The sequence below is a fragment of the Homo sapiens genome, chromosome 9 (genome assembly GCF_000001405.40).
Source record: "Homo sapiens chromosome 9, GRCh38.p14 Primary Assembly".
NCBI classification, from domain to species: Eukaryota; Metazoa; Chordata; class Mammalia; order Primates; family Hominidae; genus Homo; species Homo sapiens.
In genome coordinates, this window is record NC_000009.12 from 90742299 (window position 1) to 90763536 (window position 21238).

The 21238-nt window shown below is 45.8% G+C and overlaps 2 pseudogenes, besides 1 other annotated feature; both read right to left on the reverse strand.

Annotated features, from left to right (window-relative positions):
• OR7E109P (olfactory receptor family 7 subfamily E member 109 pseudogene) lies at positions 204 to 1150 on the reverse strand (annotated as a pseudogene).
• On the reverse strand, positions 8920 to 9942 carry OR7E108P (olfactory receptor family 7 subfamily E member 108 pseudogene; annotated as a pseudogene).
• Positions 13912 to 13971: an enhancer, noted in NCBI's record as "active region_28571". NCBI's record gives its function as "activates an Ori minimal core promoter by ATAC-STARR-seq in GM12878 lymphoblastoid cells {active_cell/tissue: GM12878}" and the evidence as "EXISTENCE:reporter gene assay evidence [ECO:0000049][PMID:35858748]".

Sequence of the window (21238 nt, forward strand, 5' to 3'; positions counted from 1 at the left end):
TTAGGGAGATATTGCTTCTAATATCACAGTGGGTGTACCCCATGTGTGTATACTCTGTGACAGTATATTCTATATCCTAGGGAGGTATTACTCCTAATATCACAGTGGGTGTTCACCCTGTGATATCATTCTTATTTGACCTTGCTGCCTTTTTTAACCCACACTACAAAAGGAATGCAACAGATAAGAAGATGTTGAGATTAGACAGAGCTGCCGTGCAGCCACCGCAGGACACTTTTAATATCCCTGTTTCTCAGGCTGTAGATGAAGGGGTTCAGCATGGGGGTGACCACCGTGTACATCACTGAGGCCACCGCAGCCTTTCTCGGGGAAGATGACACATCTGAACTGAGGTACCCTCCAATGCCTGTTCCATAAAATCAGCAAACAACCGACAGGTGAGACCCACAGGTGGAGAAGGCCTTATACTTCCCACCTGATGATGAAACCCTCAGAATGGAGGAAACAATTTTATAGTAAGAGAAAAGGGTCCCCGAGATGGGAAGAAAACCAAATATGGCAGCAGGGAAATACATGATTATGTTATTGGTGAAGGTGTCACAACATGCAAGATGGGGGAGTGGAGAAGGGTCACAGAAGAAATTAGGAATTTCCACATCCTTGAAGCAGGTCATTTGTAAGGCAATCAAGTTGTGCAGCTGGGCGTCTAAAAGACTGAGAAAAAAAAAAAAGTCAACAAAACTAGAAAGCCACAGAAACAAGGGTTCATGACGGCTGAATGATATAGAGGGTGACAGATGGCTACAAACTGGTCATAGGCCATCACACTCAGGAGCATGTCTCTCTTCCATGCCTCCAAAAATGGCAAAGAGAGATGTCTGAGTCAGGCAGCCTGCATAGGAGATGACTCTGCTGTGAGATCGGATGTCCACAATCATCTTGGGGACCGTGGTGGAGGTGAAACCGATGTCAGGCAAGGATAGGTTGGAGAGGAAGAAGTACATGGGGGTGTGGAGGTGGGAGTCAGGACTGACGGCCAGGATGATGAGCAGGTTCCCCAGCACCGTGACCAGGCACATGGACAGGAACAGCCCAGCAAGGACCAGCTGCCGTTCTGGATCCTCTGAGGTTCTAGGAGGAGGAATATAGAGACATCTATTAGATTCTGTGGGTCTGTAGAGATTGGACACCTTTTGCCTAGAAAAGAGGGTTGAGAAATCGGAAACAAGTAAACCAACACCCAGCATCATGTCTGCATTTTGGATAGAAGCAAATCACAAGTAATATTTTCAGATTTCAGAGCAATCCACAGTCACCAATATTTTGCAGTTCTGACAAACTCAACTGTCTTCTAATGCTTTCATCATTGATTTCTGTGTTATTCACTTCTTGCTCTACACACCTGCCCCAGAGACACTAGATTCAAGGATGTTCCAAGAACCAGATCATCATATATAACAAATTCGTAATTGCTAGAAAAGACAGCCTATCTTTACCAAAGGAAACTATGTAATAAAACCATTCTCTTCACTTTAAGAAAAAGGTTATCCTAATTAAAGGAAATTAAGAACTCAAATATTTTATTTTATTCGAATAGATTGATACAAATTCCCTTGATTTAGAACATCTGTAAACACTGTATAACTGCTGAGACCATGCCATCTGGAAATGAAATTAAAGTTGATAGTTCATAAGCAGAAAATAGTTCCACAGGCCAGTTAGGTCCTAGTGATTTCATCATTATGTTTTCTGACTTTTCTCCTTCAAGAGAGTAATTGCTTACTCAAATCGGTGGGTCTGGTTTTAAAATTAATGTAAGCTATAACTCCTGTCCTTAGCTTCGGTGGACTTAGAGTTTTCATCAGAACATTTGACCGGCCGCGGTGGCTCATGCGTCTGATCCCAGCATTTTGGGAGGCCGAGGAGGGCGGATCACGAGGTCAGGAGATCAAGACCATCCCGGCCAACATGGTGAAACTCCGCCTCTACTGAAAATACAAAAACTTTGCCCAGTATGGCGGCGTGCGCCTGCAGTCCCAGCTACTCGGGAAGCTGAGGCAGGAGAATGGCTTGAACCTGGGAGGCAGAGGCTACAGCGAGCCGAGATTACACCACTGCACTCCAGCCTGGGCAACAAGAGCAAAACTCCGTCTCAAAAAACAAAAAACCAAAAACACACTCTCTGTCACACTGATGACAGCCAATTTTTGTGAACCAAGGAAGTGTCAATTCGATAATTCACATAGATGTTTACTTTTGCTATCTCCTTTGTGCCAAGCAAGATATAGGCTCTGGGGAATCAGAAACAAAAGAGACTCACTTGTTCCTCTCACAATACTCAGTACTTACTGAGATAAGGACAAAAGAAAATGTCCTGTCTGGAACGCAGAGAAACCAGAACTTCTGGTCAGGGGATATTTCCGTTGAACCGTATGGAGTTTAAGCTTAAAATATTAACAAATGTATCTAAAATTCACTTTGCCTTTACTTTACGCATCCATCACATGGAGATCATGCAGCGGGCACCCACGATCGGTTTAATCATCGCTCACTTCCATTGGATCAACTAGAAATCAACTCAGATGAGAGTGCTGAGTCTCAGAGGATGGACGTCTCACCCCTTGCCATACAGATAAGTAGAAAGGGTGGTACTGAAAATTAATGGCCAGACTCTAAGACCCGGGCACTATGCTTGATGGTCTCCCAACCCTCAAAATGTTGTGGGTTCTTTTTTGTTTTTGCTTTTCTTTGGTTTTTTGAGACGGAGTCTCGTTCTGTCACCCAGGCTGGAGTGCAGTGGAGTGATCTCGGCTCACTGCAACCTCCGCATCCCAGGTTCAAGCTATTCTCTTGCCTCAGCCTACCGAGTAGCTGAGATGACAGGCGCCAGCCACTACGCCCGGCTAATATTTTTCTCTTTTTAGGAGAGACGGGTTTTCACCATGTTGGCCAGGCTGGTCTCGAACACTTGACCTTGTAATTCACCTGCCTCAGCCTCCCAAAGTGCTGGGATTACAGGCGTGAGCCACCGCGCCCAGCTTCCAAAAGTTTTCAACAGAGCTCAGAGGTCTTAACCATGGGCACATCTGAGGAGCATTTTTGAAATGGTTTCCAGCTTCCTCAATAGGAATGGAAGCCAAACCCCGAATTTATGACTCCTTTGAGGAAGTCGAGAGCTGTAAGGAAAGCCAGGAACAGGGGCAAGGGAGAGATGCCTCCCGAATGATCCTGTGCCAATTCTTTCTGGAATCTTTGATGTGATCTCATCTCAGCTGCCCTTTCCATACTTGACACAGTGATTGTGGCACCCACTGGTCTAGCTGTGGCCTACAAGGAACCCCCAAAGGGAAGGGCACAGTGAGCAGGGGCATCGGCCTGAGTGACAAGGATTTGAGAGGGCAGGTTGGATGCAGGGAGAGGACTGGCCAAATGCCATGTGTCTGGCCTTAGACTGCCTGGTTCAAATTGGGCTTCACCCTTTTTGACTTCATGATCTGGTGCAAGTTATATGAAAATGTGTTGCTCCTTTTCTAGTCTGTAAAATAATCATGAAATGTGCACTAATAACTGGGAGACTAAGCAGATGAAATGAAACAAGCTGCATAGAGCACAGAGCTCAGAGCCTGGCCTTTAGGAAGCCCTCAGTAAGGGTTCATGATGCCATGGTGTCTGTCATCATCCTCTTTATCCTCATCATCACCTTCATCATCTTTTTGTTGTTCCAAGGGAATAGTTTAGAGGGACTCATTCCCTGCTATCGTGGGTGAGATGTCTATGAAAAGGACAACCAGTGGGGGAGGGAAGCAAAATTTTGAAGAAGATTCCTGAGAGAGACCCCCCACCACAACCAAGAACTGAAACTCCACAGTCTGCTGAGCTGACAGTTTGCACATTGGTCTCCTCCCATCTGCCCACGGCACTCTCCTGTTTGTCCTGAGGATGAGGAAACAAACAAGGCTCCCGACGGTCCCTCAGCACTCACTGAACTGCCCTTCCCCTCTGCTGGGCCATGACCACGGAGAACAGGTCCACTGTCCTCCCTGCATGGTGCACATTGGAGGCTCAGACTCCGTCCTCAAGGCCGGCCAGAAGGGAGGGTGAGATATGAGCCTCCTGATACGGGTGACGGGGGTGGAGCCCACAGGACTGCAACCTCATACTGCAGGGCTGGAGGCACAGAGTATTTACTATTCTATGGCGTGGGGGGCTCAAGCACAGAGCTCCTCATTAGCCAGAGTCCCCCAAGTTCCCCAAGCTCTAAGGATTTCCTCATCATCATGCAAGAAGAAGAGGAAAATGAGTGTCCATAGAAGCTCTGGAGCTCTTCCTCTAATCAGGAGAGACCTTGTGTGTATTATTCGCTTCTTTCCTTTCTTTTACAAGATCCAAGTGCTTTAATTTTCATCTTTTATTATGGGAAAATATACCATGTAGAAATGTTAAAAATTATAAATGTAGATTATTTCATATAGAATGGCCAGTATAAACATTTACAATTTCCACTCTTTTTCAGTTTACAGTTTAATCACATTAGGTACATTCACATTGTTTAGCAACCATCACCGCCATCCTCTCCAGAACAGTTTTATCCTTGAAAATGGAAATTGCACCCATTAACCAAACTCTCCATTCCTCTCTCTCTCGCCCACCCCTGGGGGCCACCATTCTATTTTGCAACTGTATAAGTTTAACTACTCTAGACACGTGATATAAGTGGAATCAGAGCGTGTTTAATTTTTCTGGTTTGTTTGTTTTGGAGACAGAGTCTTTCTCTGTCGCCCAGGCTGGAGTGCAGTGGCGTGGTCTCAGCTGACTGCAACCTCCACATCGTGAGTTCAAGCGATTCTTTTGTCTCAGTCTCCTGAGTGGCTGGGATTACAGGCATGCACCACCACGCCCAGCTAATTGTTGTATTTTTAATAGAGACGAGCTTTCACCATATTGGCCAGGCTGGTCTTGAACTCCTGACCTTCAGTGATCCGCCTGCCTCAGCCTCCCAAAGTTCTGGGGTTACAGGTGCGAGCCACTGAGCCTGGTCGTCTTTATCCTTTTGGGATTTATTTATTTCACTGACGAGAATGTCTTCAAGGTTCATCCGTGTTGCAGCCTGTGTCAGAAGTGCCTGTCTGGCTGTTTGGGTGTTTGGATGTTTTCTTTTTTCTTTTGGTTTGGTTTGGTTTGGTTTGGTTTTGTGTTCACATGGGGTCTCACTCTGTCGCACAGGCTGGAGTGCAGTGGCACAATCTGGGCTCACTGCAACCTCCGCCTCCCGGGTTCCAGCGATTCTTGTGCCTCAGCCTCCCGAGTAGCTGGGAATATAGGCACACGCCACCACGATCGTCTAATTTTTTGCATTTTCAGTAGAGACAGGGTTTCACCAAGAATGGCCAGGCTGGTCTTGAATTCCTGAACTCAGGTGATCCGCCCACCTCAGTCTTCCAAGATGCTGGGATTACAGGCGTGAGCCACCGCACCGGCCAGAAGTGCCTGCCTTTTTAAGGCTGAAAAGTCTTCCATCGCATGAATGAACTGCAGTGCACTTTTTCGTTCATCTGTCCACGAACCCTTGGGTTGCTTCCACATTTTGGCTGTTGTGAATACTGCTGCTATGAATTTGGGTGTACGAATCTCTCTTCCACTCCTGGCTTCTAATTCTTTTTGGCAGGTACCCACAAGTGCAACTGCGGGAACATCCGCTAATCCTGTTTCTACTTTTTCCGGTACACGCCATACTATTTTCCCTGTTCCTTCACGGTTTTACATTCCCTCCAATCAGATTCGAGCATTCCTACTTCCCTCTAGTTTCACCAATGCTTGTTTGTTTATCATATCCATCCAAATGTGTGGTATCACAATTTTGGTTTGATTTGCACTTCCTTATGATTAGTGATTTTGAACATCATTTTAGACGCTTATTGGCCATTGCTATATCTTCTTTAGGGACACGTCTACTCGAGTCTTCTGACCATTGTCAATGGGATGCTTTGGGTTTCTTGTTGTTCAGTTCTAGCTGTTCTATGTATACGATGCCTATCAGCCTCTTTTCAGAGATATGATTTGCAAATATTTTTCCTAATCCATGGGTTATCCTTTCACTCAGTTCACAGTGTTTGCTGATGCACAAAAGTGTCTGTCATTTAGATGTAATCCAAGGAATCTAATTTTCTTTTGTTGCCTATGCTTTTGGTGTCATATCCCAGAAAGCATTGCCCAATCTGATGTCATGAAAGTGTGGCCTATGTTTTCTTTTAGGCATATTATACTTTCAGCACTTGGGGTTAGGTCTTTGATCCAGTTTGTGTTAATTTTTGCACCTGGTGTGACATAGAGTCCACCTTCATTCTTCTGCATGTGGAAATCAAGTTTCCCCAACACCATTTCTTGAAAAGGCTGCTTTTCCACCAATGGACTTTCTTAGCACTCATGTGAAAAATCATTTGAACATATAGGTGAGAAGTTATTTCTGGGCTGAAAAACAAACAAACAACAACAGACAACAGATAAGGATGCAGCGTGGGCCAGGCACGGTTGCTCACACCTGTAATCCAAGCACTTTGGGAGGCCAAGGCGGGCAGATCACCTGAGGTCAGGAGTTCAAGACCAGCCTGACAGACAGGAAGAAAACCCCATCTCTACTACAAATATAACATTAGCTGGGCGTGCTGGGGCATGCCTGTAATCCCAGCTGCTCGGGAGATGGAGGCAGGAGAATCGCTTGAACCCAGGAGGCAGAGGTTGCGGTGAGTCAAGATTGCACCATTACACTCCAGCCTGGGCAACAAGAGCGAAACTCTGTCTCAAAACAAAAAACCAAAAACAAAAAATCCAGCATGATTTCGAGAGCAGAAAGAGAATAGCTGAAAAACCAGCATAATGAGAAAGTTAGGAAGCTTCTTACTAAAGCATCTGGAAACATGCAAGAAATTCTTGTGAACTAAAATTTTCATACTGTACTATCAAACACTAGAACTCACTTATTCCATCTTTCTGTATTTTGGGACCCAATTATCCACTTCTCTTCATTCCCCATCCCACCCCTTTTCTTCCTACCGTCTGCTAACCACCTTTATACTTTCCACCTTCCTGAGATTCCTTTTGTGTGTAGGTGTGTGATGGAGTCTCTTTCTGTTGCCCAGGTTGGAGTATACAGGCACAATCTGGGCTCACGGCAACCTCCGCCTCCTGAGTTCAAGCACTTCTTGGGCCTCAGCCCTCCGAGTAGCTGAGACTACAGGCACGCATCACCACGCCGGGCTAATTGTGTTTTTAGTAGAGACGGGGTTTCACCATGTTGGCCAGGCGGGTCTCGAACTCCTGGCCTCAAGTGATCCATGCGACTCGGCCTCCCAAAGTGCTGGGATTACAGGCCTGAGCCACCACACCTGGCCAAGATTTTCTTTTTTCTTCCTACACATAAGTGAGGACATGTAATATTTCTCATTCTGTGCCTGGCTTATTTCACTTAATATACAGACCTGAAATCTCATCCATTTTGTCTGCAGTGGAGAGGATTTTGTTTATTCCTTTTTAGGCTGAATAATACTTCATTGTGTGTGTATACCACAGTTTCTCAACTGAAACAAATTTCTAAAAAGCAAATATTTTTAACATGTCTCGGAATGTGAAACTTCAGGGATACTGTGCCTATTTTATTCTTTTCTATTTCCCGTCTTATGTATATGCAAGTGTATAACAAAGCAGCATCAAAGTGTGTATAAATCTATAATTTCAACAAATGTAAAATGAAAATGCTAAGTAGTGGCTGGGCGCGGTCGCTCATGCCCGTAATCCCAGAACATTGGGAGGCGGAAGCGGGCGGATCACCTGAGGTCAGGAGTTCAAGACCAGCCTGACCAATACGGAGAACCACTGTCTGTACTAAAAATACCAAAAAAAAAAAAAAAAAAAATTAGCCGGCATGGTAGTGCATGCCTGTAATCCCAGCTACTTGGAAGGCTGAGACAGGAGAATCACTTGAATACGGGAGGCAGAGGTTGCAGTGAGCCGAGACCGTGCCACCAGCCTGGGCAACAAGAGTGAAACTCTGCCTCGAAAAAAAAAAAAGAAAAGAAAAGAAAAAGAAAAAAATAGAAAATGCTAAATGGTAAGAAACAACAGCATAATAAACATTTGTATGGTGTTGATGGACAATGCATTTGAAGATAATATTTGAAGAAATCATATTACAATTAACATCTGTTCTTACTCATTGGAGCTTGATGCCTCTAAAAACTTCGTCATTGCAACCACCTCTGGTGCTTTAAAAAAAAAAAAAAATCCACATACTCACATAGGTGCAGGGAAATCAGAATCTGAGGTAATGAGACCCAGGCCTCATCATTTGTAAGCTCCCCAGGTGATTTGACTCAAAGCCAAGATTGAGGACCGGTGACATGGATCGCTACACATAACCTGCCTAAATAGATTCTTTAGAAGCAGTTTATAAAGAAATTCCACATGAACTCTGAAGAGGATATGAATTTGATGTACAGTATGTCCTCACTTATCGTCTTTGAAAGTCTCTTGGAAACTTCACCTTTAAGCAAGATTAGGTATAGTGAAACCACTTATTCCTCACCAACATTATAACTACACATCTTTGAACGCACCAATGGTGTTGGAGGACCTGCTGTACATTGCTTCCATGAAGTCAATTTTCAGGGAATTCCAAAACGAAGTGCGGACTTCATGTATATAAAAAGATGGCTGTGATTCCACCTGGATGACAGGGTTATTGCTCAGAAACTAAAGGAGGCCGCCTAGGTATAGAGGATTCAGTCATGAGGTTTCTGCTAAACAAAGGATCCCAGAATCCTCACCCACTCCAGTTAAAGGCACAACGAAGAAAACAATATCCACATAGGAAATGCAGAAAGGAATAAAAGCCATCAAGCCACAAAAATAATGTGACTAAGGGTCAGGATTTGCAGATGTAGGGATTTGATGTGGTTGCCCTTTCTTACCCACACAAGAAAAAGGATGGAACAGATCATGAGATTCGACTGTTCTGCTGCGCAGCCTCCACAGGGCGCTTTGAATGTCCCTGTTTCTCAGGCTGTAGATGAAAGGGTTCAGCATGGGGGTGACCACAGCGTACATCACTGACGCCACCACACCATTCCTGGGGGGTGGTGCCACAGCTGAAGTCAGGTACATGCCAATGCCTGTTCCATAAAATAAGCAAACAACTGCCAGGTGAGAGCCACAGGTGGAGAAGGCTTTATACTCCCATCTGACGATGAAATCCTTAGAATGGAGGGAACAATTTTATAGTAAGACAAAAGGATCCCTGAAATGGGAAGAAAACCAAACATAGTACTATTGAAATACATGAATATGCTATTGATGACGCTGTCAGAACAGGCAAGGTTGAGAAGTTGAGATGGCTCACAGACAAAATGAGAGATTTCCACATTCTTGAAGAAGGTGAATTGTAACAATCTAACTGTGCAGCTGGGAATCCAACAGGCTAAGGAAAAAGGACACCAAAACTAAGAAGACACAGAGGTGAGGATTCACGATGACTGCGTAGTGCAGAGGGCGACAGATGGCTACAAAGCAGTCCTAGGCCATCACAGTCAGGAGCATGTCTTCTATACATGCAAAAAGGACCAAGAAAGACATCCGTGTCAGGCAGCTCGCATAAGAGATGACTCTGATATGTGACTGCATGTCCACAGTCATCTTGGGAACCGTGGCCGAAGTGAAACCGATGTCAGCCCAGCACGGGTTGGAGAGGAAGAAGTACATGGGGGTGTGGAGGTGGGAGTCAGAGCTGACAGCCAGGATGACGAGCAGGTTCCTCAGCACTGTGACCAGATACATGGATGGGGACAGCCCAGCGAGGACAGGCTGCAGTTCTGGATCCTCTGAGAGTCCCAGGAGGAGGAATTCTCAGACACCTGTGAGATGCCGTGGCTCTGTGTGACTTGGACACCTTGGGAAGAAAAGAGGATTGGAAAAATAAAAGATAAAAACCAGCCCTTAATGCTGTGTGTATATTTTGGATGCAAGCAATTCACAAGGAACATTTTCACACTTGAGGACCATACACCGCCAGCAATATTTCTCAGTTGTGACAAGCCCAAAAGTCTCAGAATTATTACATGATTTACTTTTTTGCTATTCAACTCCTTCTGTACATACTACTTTAGAGAAAATCCACTGAAGAATTTTAGAAGTCCAAAACATAATATACAACAAATCCATGATCTCAGTAAAATACGGCCTACTCTTTTCAGAAAAAATAAAATGCAATGAAGATGCTCTTCTCTCTTTAAGAAAAAGATCTCAGTCTAATTGAAAGAAATTAAGAAGCAGTGAAATACACTCTGTTTTATTCTGACACCGTGCGACAAATTCCTTTGATGTAGAATATGTAAAAGGATGATACAAGAGCTAGGACCGCATTATCTAAAAACAAAATAGAACCTTAGAGTTCTTAATCGGAAGACCTTTTAACATGCCACTTACTTTTCATATTTATTATCATCCTTAGGTTTTCTGACATCATTTATTCATAAAAGTACATGCACACTCAAATATGGGAGCTGTGTTTCCACATTAATTTAATATATAACTCTTGGCCAAGTGCCATGGCTCACACCTGTAATCCCAGCACTTTGGGTGGCCGAGGCCGACGGATCACCTGAGGTCAGGAGTTCCAGACCAGCCTGGCCGACGTGGTGAAACCCCATCTCTAGTGAAAATAAAAAAAAAAATTAGCCAGGCGTGGTGGCGGGTAACCCTAGCTGCTCAGGAGGCCGAAGCAGGAGAATCCCTTAGAACCTGGAAGGCAGAGATTGTACACCCTGTGGTATGATTTTGGATATCCTAGGGAGACATTGCTCCTGACATCAGAGTGGGCGTACACCCTGTGATATTGTCTGTAATATCGTAGAAAGATGTTGCTCCTAATATCACAGTGGCTGCACACCCTGTGATACTAATTGTAATATCCTACAGAGATATCATTCCTAATAATACAGTGGGTGTACACCCTGTGATATTGTTCCTAATATCCAGGGAAGGAGAGGATGACATTATGCCCAATATCACTGGGGGTGTACCGCCTCCCGCGGGGATATTGTTCTTAATATCTGGAGGTGGAGAGAATGATGTTACTCCCAATATCACAGGGGGTGTACACTACCCCTGTTTGTAAACACCCCCTGTGATATTGGTCCAAATGGCCTGTGAAAGAATAAATATGACTCCCATTATCGCGGGGGGTGTTCAGCCCTGATGATATTGTTTTCTAACATCCAGGGAAAGAGAGTATGCTATTACTCCCAATATCGCAGGGGTCGTACACCCTTCTGTGTTTTTGTGCCCAATATCCAGGAAAGTAGAGGATGATATTACTCCCAATATCGAAGTAATTGTACAGCACCCCTGTGATATTCTTCCTCATATCCAGAAAGGGAAAGAATGATATTACTCCCAACAGCATAGGAAATGTATACCCGCGCTGTGATATCTTTCCCAATACCCAGTTGGGGAGAGGATCATATTACTTCCAATGTCGCAGGGTGTGTACACCCACTCTGTGATCTTGTTGCAAACATCCAGGTTTGGGGAGGATGACATTACTCCCAATATCGCAGGGGAAGTACACTCCCCCATGACCTTGTTAGTCATTTCCTGGGTGGAGAGGATGATATTACTCCCAATATCGCAGGGGGTGTACACACCCCTGTGAAAATCATCCTAATATCCAGAGGGAGAGAGGATGATATTACTCCCAGTACCGCAGGGGGTTTACACAGCCCTGTGATACTCTTCCTAATATCCACAGGAAGAGAGGATGATATTACTCCCAGTACCGCAGGGGGTGTACACAACCCTGTGACATTGTTCCTAATATCCAGAGCGAAAGAGGATGATATGACTCTCAATATCGCAGGGGGTGTACACCCCTCCTGTCCTATTGTTCTGAATACCCTGGGAGGGAGAGGATAAGGTTACTTTGAATATGGCAGGGAATGTACACCCTCCCCCTCTGATACCCTTCCTAATGTCCAGGGGAAGAGAGGAAAATTTTACTCCCAATATCGCAGAGGCAGTACACCCCACCTGTGATGTTGTTCCCAATATGCAAGGGGAGAGAGGATGATATTACTCCCAATATTGCAAGGCTGTTCACATCCCCAGTGACATTTTTCCTAATATCTAGGGGAGAGACAATTATATGACAGCAAAGGTCACAGGGTCTGTACATCCTGATATGGTTCCTAATATCCAGGGGGGAAGAGGATGATATCAAATATGAAAGGGGGTGTACACCACCCACCCCTATGATATTGTTCTTAATATTCATGAGGGGAGACGATGATATTCCTCCAAATATCACAGGGGTTGTTGACACCCCCCTGTGATATTGTTTCTGATATCCGGGCGGGAGAAAATCATATTACTTCCAATATTGCAGGTGGTGTATACCCCACCTGAAATATGGCATCGAATATCCAAAGAGGGAGAGGATGGTATTAATACCAATATCGAAGTGTGTGTACACACCCCTTGTGATATGGTTTTTAATATCCAGTGGGTGGGAGGATGATATTAGTCCCAACATCCCAGAGGGTGTACACTACCCCTGTGATATTGTCTCTAACTTCCAGAGGGGAGAGGATGATATCACTCCCAATATCTCAGAAGTTGTACATCCCCCGTGATATTGTTTGTCATATCCAGGGAGGCACAGGATGACATTCCATTGAATTTCGCGACAGGCGTACATGCACAGTGTGATATTGTTCCTAATATCCAAGAAGGGAGAGGATGATATTACTCCCAATAAAGCAGTGGGTGTACATGACCCCTGTGTTATTGTCTCTAATATCCGGGGCCAGGGGAGCGGGGGAGAGGATAACATTCCCTCAAATTTAGCAGGTGGTTTGACGCCCCTTGTGGTGTTGTTTTAAATATCCAGCGGGGAAGACAATAGTACTATTTTTGATACTCCGATTCATCCGCTCCACCTTTCTGGAACTCTGAGGCTGGGAGGCGGCACGCAGTTTCCGTGTGATCCCCAATACCTTTGCCGTCTTCTGTACCAAGGCAGCCAAAAACGCAGGCTTGTTATCTGAGCTGATCCGTAAGGACAGTCGAAATCTAGGAATCAGATCTCGAAGGAGCACAGGGTTTACTTCACCAGCTTTCTCAGTTTGTGTTTGATAGGCCTCCACCCACCCAGAGTAGGTACGCCCAAGAACTAGTAAATACTTGGTACCTCCACACTTTGGCATCTCTGTGAAGTCTACCTGGAGATCTTCAAAGGGGACTGCTCCATAAGCTTGTATGCCGGGCGGAACGGCTGGACCTTGCCTCGCATTATGCTCTCGGCAGGTAACTCACCGCTGCCTCAGCATTTTGGCAAGGGCTGACAAATGTGAGATGTAGAAATACCGGCCTAACAACTTTTCCAGTGACTCCTGACCTACATGGGTGGTTTCTTGCACAGCCAGTACAACTGCAGCTCCTAGCAACTGTGGCACAGCTATTCTCACATCTGGTAACTGAATCCATCCTCCCTCCATCACTTGTCCTTCCCTCTACCTGGAGAAAGTCCTTTTCTTCTTTAGAAGAAGTAGGTCCAAGATCAGGTGCTTGAGGGAGCACTGATGCCCAGAAGGGGGCAAATGCTGCTTCTTCGAGCCTCTGAGTCAGCGAGGGAATTCCCCAAACCCAGCAAGGTGGAAGCTCGCTGGTGTCCTCTGCAATGCATGACTGCCACCTTGTGGGGTTTCCATACTGCTTTTAATAATTGCAAGATTTCTTGTTGATATTTTCTGTCTTTTCCCCCAGAGTTCAATAGGCCCTTTTCTTTCTATCATGCTCCATGCACTTGAAGGGTTAAAAGACATACCAAGAATCAGTGTAAATGTTTACAGTCTCACCTTCACTGAGTTCTAAGGCCCGAGTGAAAGCAATGAGTTCCGCTTTCTGGGCTGAAGTGGCCTGGGGCAACAATCTGGCTTCAACAACAGTGTCCAGGGTTACCACTGCATACCCTGCATCTCTCTCTCCTTGGGGGTTGAAGAAGCTGCTCCCATCCACATATAGTTCCCAGTCTACTGATGTGCAAGGCTGGTCCCGGAGGTCAGGTGTGCTAGAGTCAACTGAGTCCAACACTTCTACACAATCAGGCTGGACAGGGCTCTCTGGTACCGGGAGCAAGGTGGCAGGGTGTAGGGTGTTACAAACTTCAATAGTTATATAGGGATTTTCACAGAGCAAAGTTTGGTGCTTGATGAGTCTGGCATTCGTTAGCGAATGATGTCCTTTAGTATTCATTAAAGTCACCACAGCATGGGGGGCCTTTATGTTCAGGTTTTGCCCAAGAGTCAGCTTATTAGCTTCTTGTACTAGCAGGGCAGTTGCTGCCAAGGCCCTCAAACAGGGGGACCATCCTTTAGAAACCCCATCTAGTTGTTTAGAGAGGTAGGCCACTGGCCTCAGCCAGGGCCCCACAGTTTGGGTTAAAAGTCCAGCTGCCATCTTTTCTCTCTCTGACACATACAATGGAAGAGGCTTTGTCAGATCGGGTAGCCCCAAGGCTGGGGCTGCCAGAAGGTTTTCCTTTAACTCATGAAAGACTTCCTGTTGTTGGGATCCCCATTCCAAAAGTTCCCAGTCCCTGCCCCCTTTGTGACCTCATACAAAGGCTTGGCTAATACTGCAAAGTTTGGGATCCACAGTCTACAAAACCCCACAGCTCCTAAGAATTCTCTCACTTGCCTTCTGCCCTGAGGCTCTGGTAGGTTGCAAATGACCTGCTTTCTTTCTGATCCAGGGCTGCATTCCGACCCCTCTCGGATAGTAAATCCCAAGTAAGGTACCTGCCGTCCGCAGATCTGAGCTTTCTTCTTGGACACCTAATACCCATAGTCCTCCAGGTGCCTGTGTAGGGCATCTGTTCCCTTGGCGCACCCGACCGCCGTGGGGTGTCTTAACCTACTGGAGCAACACACAGCCTAGGTCTCTGGTGGGAAACTCTGGAGGTCTCAAGCCAATGCCTCCCTGAAGATGGTGGGGAGTTCTTGAACCCTTGGGGAAGTCCAGTCCAAGTGTACTGAGTAGTGACACCTGACTCCGGATCTTCCCACTGAAAGGCAAACAGCTTCTGCCTCTCAGGGGCTAATCTGATAGGAAAGAAAGCATCTTTCAGGTCCAAGCAGGTGAACCAGCTGTCCTCAGCTGGCAGCAACCCCAACAATGTGGATGGGTTAGGTACTGTTGGACGTAAAGTCAGTGTAGCTTGATTAAGCAAGTGCAAATCCTGTACCGGCCGGTAGTCCTTGGTCCGTGGCTTGGGAACAGGCAGGAGGGGAGTGTTCCATGGAGACTGACAAGGAACAATAATTCCAAAAGTTCTTAGGTGCTTGAGATGGACCTGGATACCTTGAAGAGCTTCTCTGGGGACCAGGGCCTGTTTTTGCCTAACCGGCTGGGCCCCAGTCTTAACTGGCCAATCCCGGAGGGTTGTCTTCCACCCGTACTCTTGGCCACCGCTTAGCCAGAGCTGGTCTTCTCTCTTGGCCCAGCTCAGTTAAGAAAAGTCTCCATTCCTCCTCTCGGGGGACCATAAGGGTCATAATGACTCCTGTTCCGGGTAACTTTAGCAGCAAAGAGCCATGCTCTGTCAAAGAGATAGTGGCTCTCAGCTTGCTGAGCAAGTCCCTTCCCAAAAAGGGCAAGGGACAGTCAGGCATGTACCAAAACTGATGAATGACTTTATGTCCTCCTACAGTGCAAGTCCGAGGCAAGCAGAAAGCCTGCTTTGCTGAAACCCCCGTGGCTCCGATGACGTCAATAGTTGTTTCGGATAAGGGGGCGACCGGGGCGGTTACTAGCGAATGTTCAGCACCACTATCTACAAGAAAATCAATGTCTCTACCCCCGACTGTCATTCTGACCAGAGGCTCTTTGGGGACACTTGAGCCCGGTCTCCCTCAGGCCAATAACCCTTCTGCCAGGTTGAGCAGGGCCCCTTCCTCCTTCTCCGGGCCCTCCTGCTCTGAGTCACCTTGTTTTCTTTTGAGCTGAGGGCATTTGTTCTTCCGCTGTCCTATTTCTTTACAATAAGCACACTGGTTACGCTGCAAACTCTGACAGCCAAGCTGAGTTTCTTTCCCAGGGCCCCCCTTCCCTTGCCTCTTTGGGTGGGGGGCCCTCTGATTGCTGCAGCTAACAAACAGGTCGGTGTTTTGCTGGGCCTGACCTCCATTCTCTTTGCCGTTTTCCTTACTGCTTACTGCATCCCTGCTTACAAACACCTGGCTAGCTATTTCTAGTAATTGTGATGTATTCATCCCTGCAAGCCCAGCCTGTTTCTGCAGTTTTCTTCTCATGTCTTCTGTGCTTTGACGGACTAAAGCCATGTTAATCATGCGCTGATTTCAGGGCTATCGGGATCAAAGGGAGTATACATACAATAGGCCTCACACAGCCTCTCGTAGAATTGTGCTGGACTTTCTTCTTTTCCCTGAATGACCTCAGAGACCTTTTTAACATTTGTGGCCTTCTGAGCTCCCCTCATTAATCCTTCCAAGAGAGCTTCCCTGTCTCGGTTTAGCCTTTGCATATCCTCTCTTTCATGTGGGTCCAACTGGGGGTCGGTTCCTGGTAACTGGGTCCTTACATACTCTTGGGGGTTTTGATAATCAGCTGATGCATGTTCCTCTAGCCACTTAGTTGCTGCTTGGGGACTCTCCGCCTTTCTTCGCTGTTAAAGAGGAACATGAGCAACAGGTGCCAATCAGCCCAGGTGTGGTTGTGGGTCTGGATAACAGTTTGGAGCAAATCAATTAGGGCTTGTGGCTTTTTGGTATAGGGCGGTGTATTGGTTTTCCAGTTGAGAAGGTCGACGCAGGTGAAGGGCTGGTACCCAAAAACACGCCTCTCCACCACGTGACCATCCTCATCTATCCCAGTATACCGCTGCTCTCTCAGGGGCATTTGTATCCCCGTTTTGGGTCGTAAACGAGCTGCCGAGGGAGGGGTGGAATGGCGCAATGTGACTTACCGCAATTAATAATCTCAGTTATTAATTGACACTAATAATTATCAATATTAATAACTGATAATATAATTTTTAAAATCAATACCAATAATAATGATGATTAATATTAAATAGTCATACTAATGATAACAATAAATGATTAATATTAATGATTAATGATGCCCGATATTAATAACTGATATTGATCTTATTCACTAGAAAACAGTAATATTAGCTCCTAATAATTAATATTAATATTAATCTGAAAAATTTTTATTAGCAATTATTTCTTAATATTAATATGAATATCGGTCATTGATATTCATGTTAATAATAAATGAGGAATAATTCATACTACTATTAAGCCTAATACCTCAGTGGGTGTACACCCACCTGTGATATTGCTCCTAATGTCCAGGGAGGGAGAGAGCATGATATTACGTTCAATATCGCAGTAGGTGTACACCCAGCCAGTGATATTGATCCGAGTATAATCTCCAGGGGGTGGAGTATGAAGTTACTCCCAATATAGCACTGGGTGTGCATCCACCCGGTAATTTTGCTCCTAATAGTCACGGAAGAAGAGAATGCTATTACTCCCAGTATCGCAGGAAGTGCACACCCCTTCTGTGACATTGTTCCTAATATCCGGAGGGGGAGAGGGTGATATTACTCGCAATATCGCAGGCTGTGTACACCCACCCTCTGATATTGTTCCTAGTAGCCAGGAAGGGAGAGGAGGATATGACTCCCCATACAGCAGGAGGTGTATACCCATCCTGGGATATTATTCCTAATATCCATGGAGAGGAGAGGCTGATATGACTCCCAATATCGCAGGGGGTGTACATCCAGTCTGTGATATTGTTCTTAATATTCAAAGGCGGAGAGGTTGATATTACTCCCAATATCACAGAAAGTGTACAAACCCGTGTACTATTGTTGCTATTATCCAGAAGAAGAGAAGATGATATCACCCCCCCCCCCCCCCCCATCGCAGGAGGTGTACACCCACTCTGTGATATTTTTTCCAATGTGCAGGGCAGGGGAGGATAATATTCTTCTTAATAGCACAGGGTGTGTACAGCCCCACTGTGATATGGTCCTTAATATTCCTAGGTGGAGAGGATGATCTTACTCCCAATACCGCAGAAAGTGTACACCACCCCAGTGATATGGTTCCCATGATCCAGGAGAGAAGAGGATGATGTTACTTTCAATATCGCACGGGGTGGAAACGCCCCCAGTGATATTGTTCCTAATTTCAACGTGGGAGAGGATGATACTACACGGAATGCCCCTAGGGGTAAAAACACTCCTGTGATATTGTTCTTAATATCAAGGGGAAAGAGGATGCTATTACTCCAAAAGTGCAGAGGATGTGCACCCGTCTGTGACATAGTTGGTAATTTCCAGGGACGAAGATATTACTGACAATAACGTGAACACTCTGTGTGACCACCGTGGATCGTCATATCCAGCGGGGGAGAGGGGGGTGATATGACTCCCCGCATCGCGGGGGGCTCATCCCCTTGCCATGGGAGTCCTAAGAGCCAGGGGGGGATAGGGGCTGGCTCTTACTCCCCTTACCACGGAGGGGGCCTCACCCCCCTGCGATGGGGCTCCTAAGAGCCAGGGGCGGAGAGGGGCTGGCTCTTACTCCCCATATCGCAGGAGGTGTGTACAACCCCTGCGATATTGGGACTAATATTATCCTCTCCCCCTGAATATAAGAAACAATATCACAGGAGGATGTACACCCCCTGCGATATTGGAGGTAACATCATTTTCTCCCCCTTGGGATATTCGGAACAATATCACAGTGGGTGTGTACAGCCCCTGCGACATTGCCGCTAGTATCTTCCTCTCCCTCCCAGGATATAAGGAAGAATGTCACAAGAGGGTGTACACCCCCTGCGATATTGGCCGTAATATCTTCCTCTCCCCTGCTGCCCTTTAGGAGCAACGTCACAGAAGGGGTGTTCCCCCCCTGCTATATTGGGAGTGATATCATCCTCTCCGTCCCTGGATATTAGGAATAATATCCCTAGGGAGTGTACACCTCCTGCAATATTCAGACTAATATCATCCTCTCGCCGCCTGAGTATTAGGATCGATATCACAAGGGTGGTGTGCACCCCCGGCGAATTGGAAGAAATATCATCCTCTCCACCTTTGGATGTTAGGGACAGTATCACGGGGGAGGTCTCCGCCCCCTGCGATATTGGGAGTCATATCATCCGCTCCCACCCAGGATATTAGGAACAAGATGACCGAAGGGACGTACTCCCACTGCGATATTTTCAATAATGTCATCCTCTACCCCCTGGCTATTAGGAGTAACATCATAGAGGGGTGTACACTTTCTGCGATATTGGGAGTAATATCATCTCCCCCACAGATATCGGGAACAGTTACATTAATTATTAATATTAATAAACAATAACAATTAATAGTAATCATCGATATTAATAATTACAGTAGAGACAGTAAAACAGTATGGATTAAAATATTAATGGTTACTATTAATAATTAATAGCAATATCACTATTAATAATAAAATAATGATATCGGTAATTAATGTTACTTCAATCATAAGTGATGGTAATAAAACAATAATTAGTATTAAAATTAATAACTAATATTAAAAGTGACATTAATATTAATTATTTTAATCATGCATAATCATATCTTGAAAATAAGCATTAATGATTAATGACATTATACTATTAATCTTACCATTGATAATTCTTAATAAGACTGATGTTTAATAATTCATAATATTATTACTCCTAACACCACAGGGGGTGTACACCTACCTGTGATATTGTTCCTAATAGTCAGGGATGGAGAGCATGATATTAGTTTTCATATCACAGTAGGTGTACACTCACCCTGTGACACCGATCCTAATACCCAGCGGGTAGAGTATGACATGACTGCCAACAGAGCAATGAATGTACAGCCACCCGGTGATATTGCTCCTAACATCCACGGAAGAAGCGTATGATATTACTCCCAATATCGCAGGGAGTGTACACCTCTTCTGTGATATTGTTCCTAGTATGCTGAGGGGGACAGGATGATAATAATTCCAGCATCACAGGCTGTGTTCACCCAGCCTGTGAAATTGTTATTAATATCCTGAAAGGGAGAGGATGATATTACTCCCCATAATAGATAGATATGACTCCCCATAATAGAGCAGGAGGTGTACACCCACCCTGTGATATTCTTCCTAATCTTCAGAGGCCGAGAGGTTGATATTACTCCCGATATCGCAGGAAGTATACACCCGCATGTGAGATGGTCCTTAATAATATTCCAAGATGGAGGGGGTGATATGACTACATATATGACAGAAAGTGGACACCCCCCAGGGATATTGTTCCCATGATCTTGGAGGGAAGAGGATGGTATTACTTTCAATACGACAGAAGGTGGACACGCCCCTACTGATATTGTTTCTAATTGCAACATGGGAGAGGAGGATATGATACGCGATATCGTAGGGAGTAGAAACACCCCTGTAATACTGTTCTTAATATTCAGGGAGGAAGAGGATGATATTACTCCCAATACAGACGCTTGTACACCGTCTGTACACCGAGGGTGTACACCCGTCTGTGAAAAAGTTCATAATCTCCAGAGGGGGAGATGATATTACTCACAATATGGTAAACAGGCTGTGAGTCCACCGCGGATCCTAAAAACCAGGAGGGGGGAGAGGGGCTGGCTCTTACTCCCCGCATCGCGGGGGGTGCCTCACCCCCCTGCGATGGGGGTCCTAAGAGCCAGAGGGGGAGAGGGGCTGGCTCTTACTCCCCGCATCGCGGGGGGTGCCTCACCCCCCTGCGATGGGGGTCCTAAGAGCCGGGGGGGAGAGGGGCTGGCTCTTACTCCCCGCATCGTGGGGGGTGCCTCACCCCCCTGTGTTTGTTTGCACTTTTATTTTGCTGGAGTAAAACATCCAAAGAGAGGAGGTCATCTTTTGGAGTCCCTGCTGGGTAAAACTTTGTTTTGCTCTCAGAGAACCTCTCTGGGCAGCTGATGATGCCCTTCTGATGCAGGACAGGTGAGCCCCCACGATTAGGGCTTAGTCCAAGAAGTTTCTTGGCTTCACTAACGAACAAATTCAAGAGTGAGCTGGTGGTAGAAAACAGCCTAATTGAGGTAGCAGTGTCACAGCTCCATGACTGCTGCTGCAAAGCAGGGCTACCCCATAGGTGGTGTTTGGAGAGTAGCAGCTCAGAAGCAGTTTTGCAGTCATAT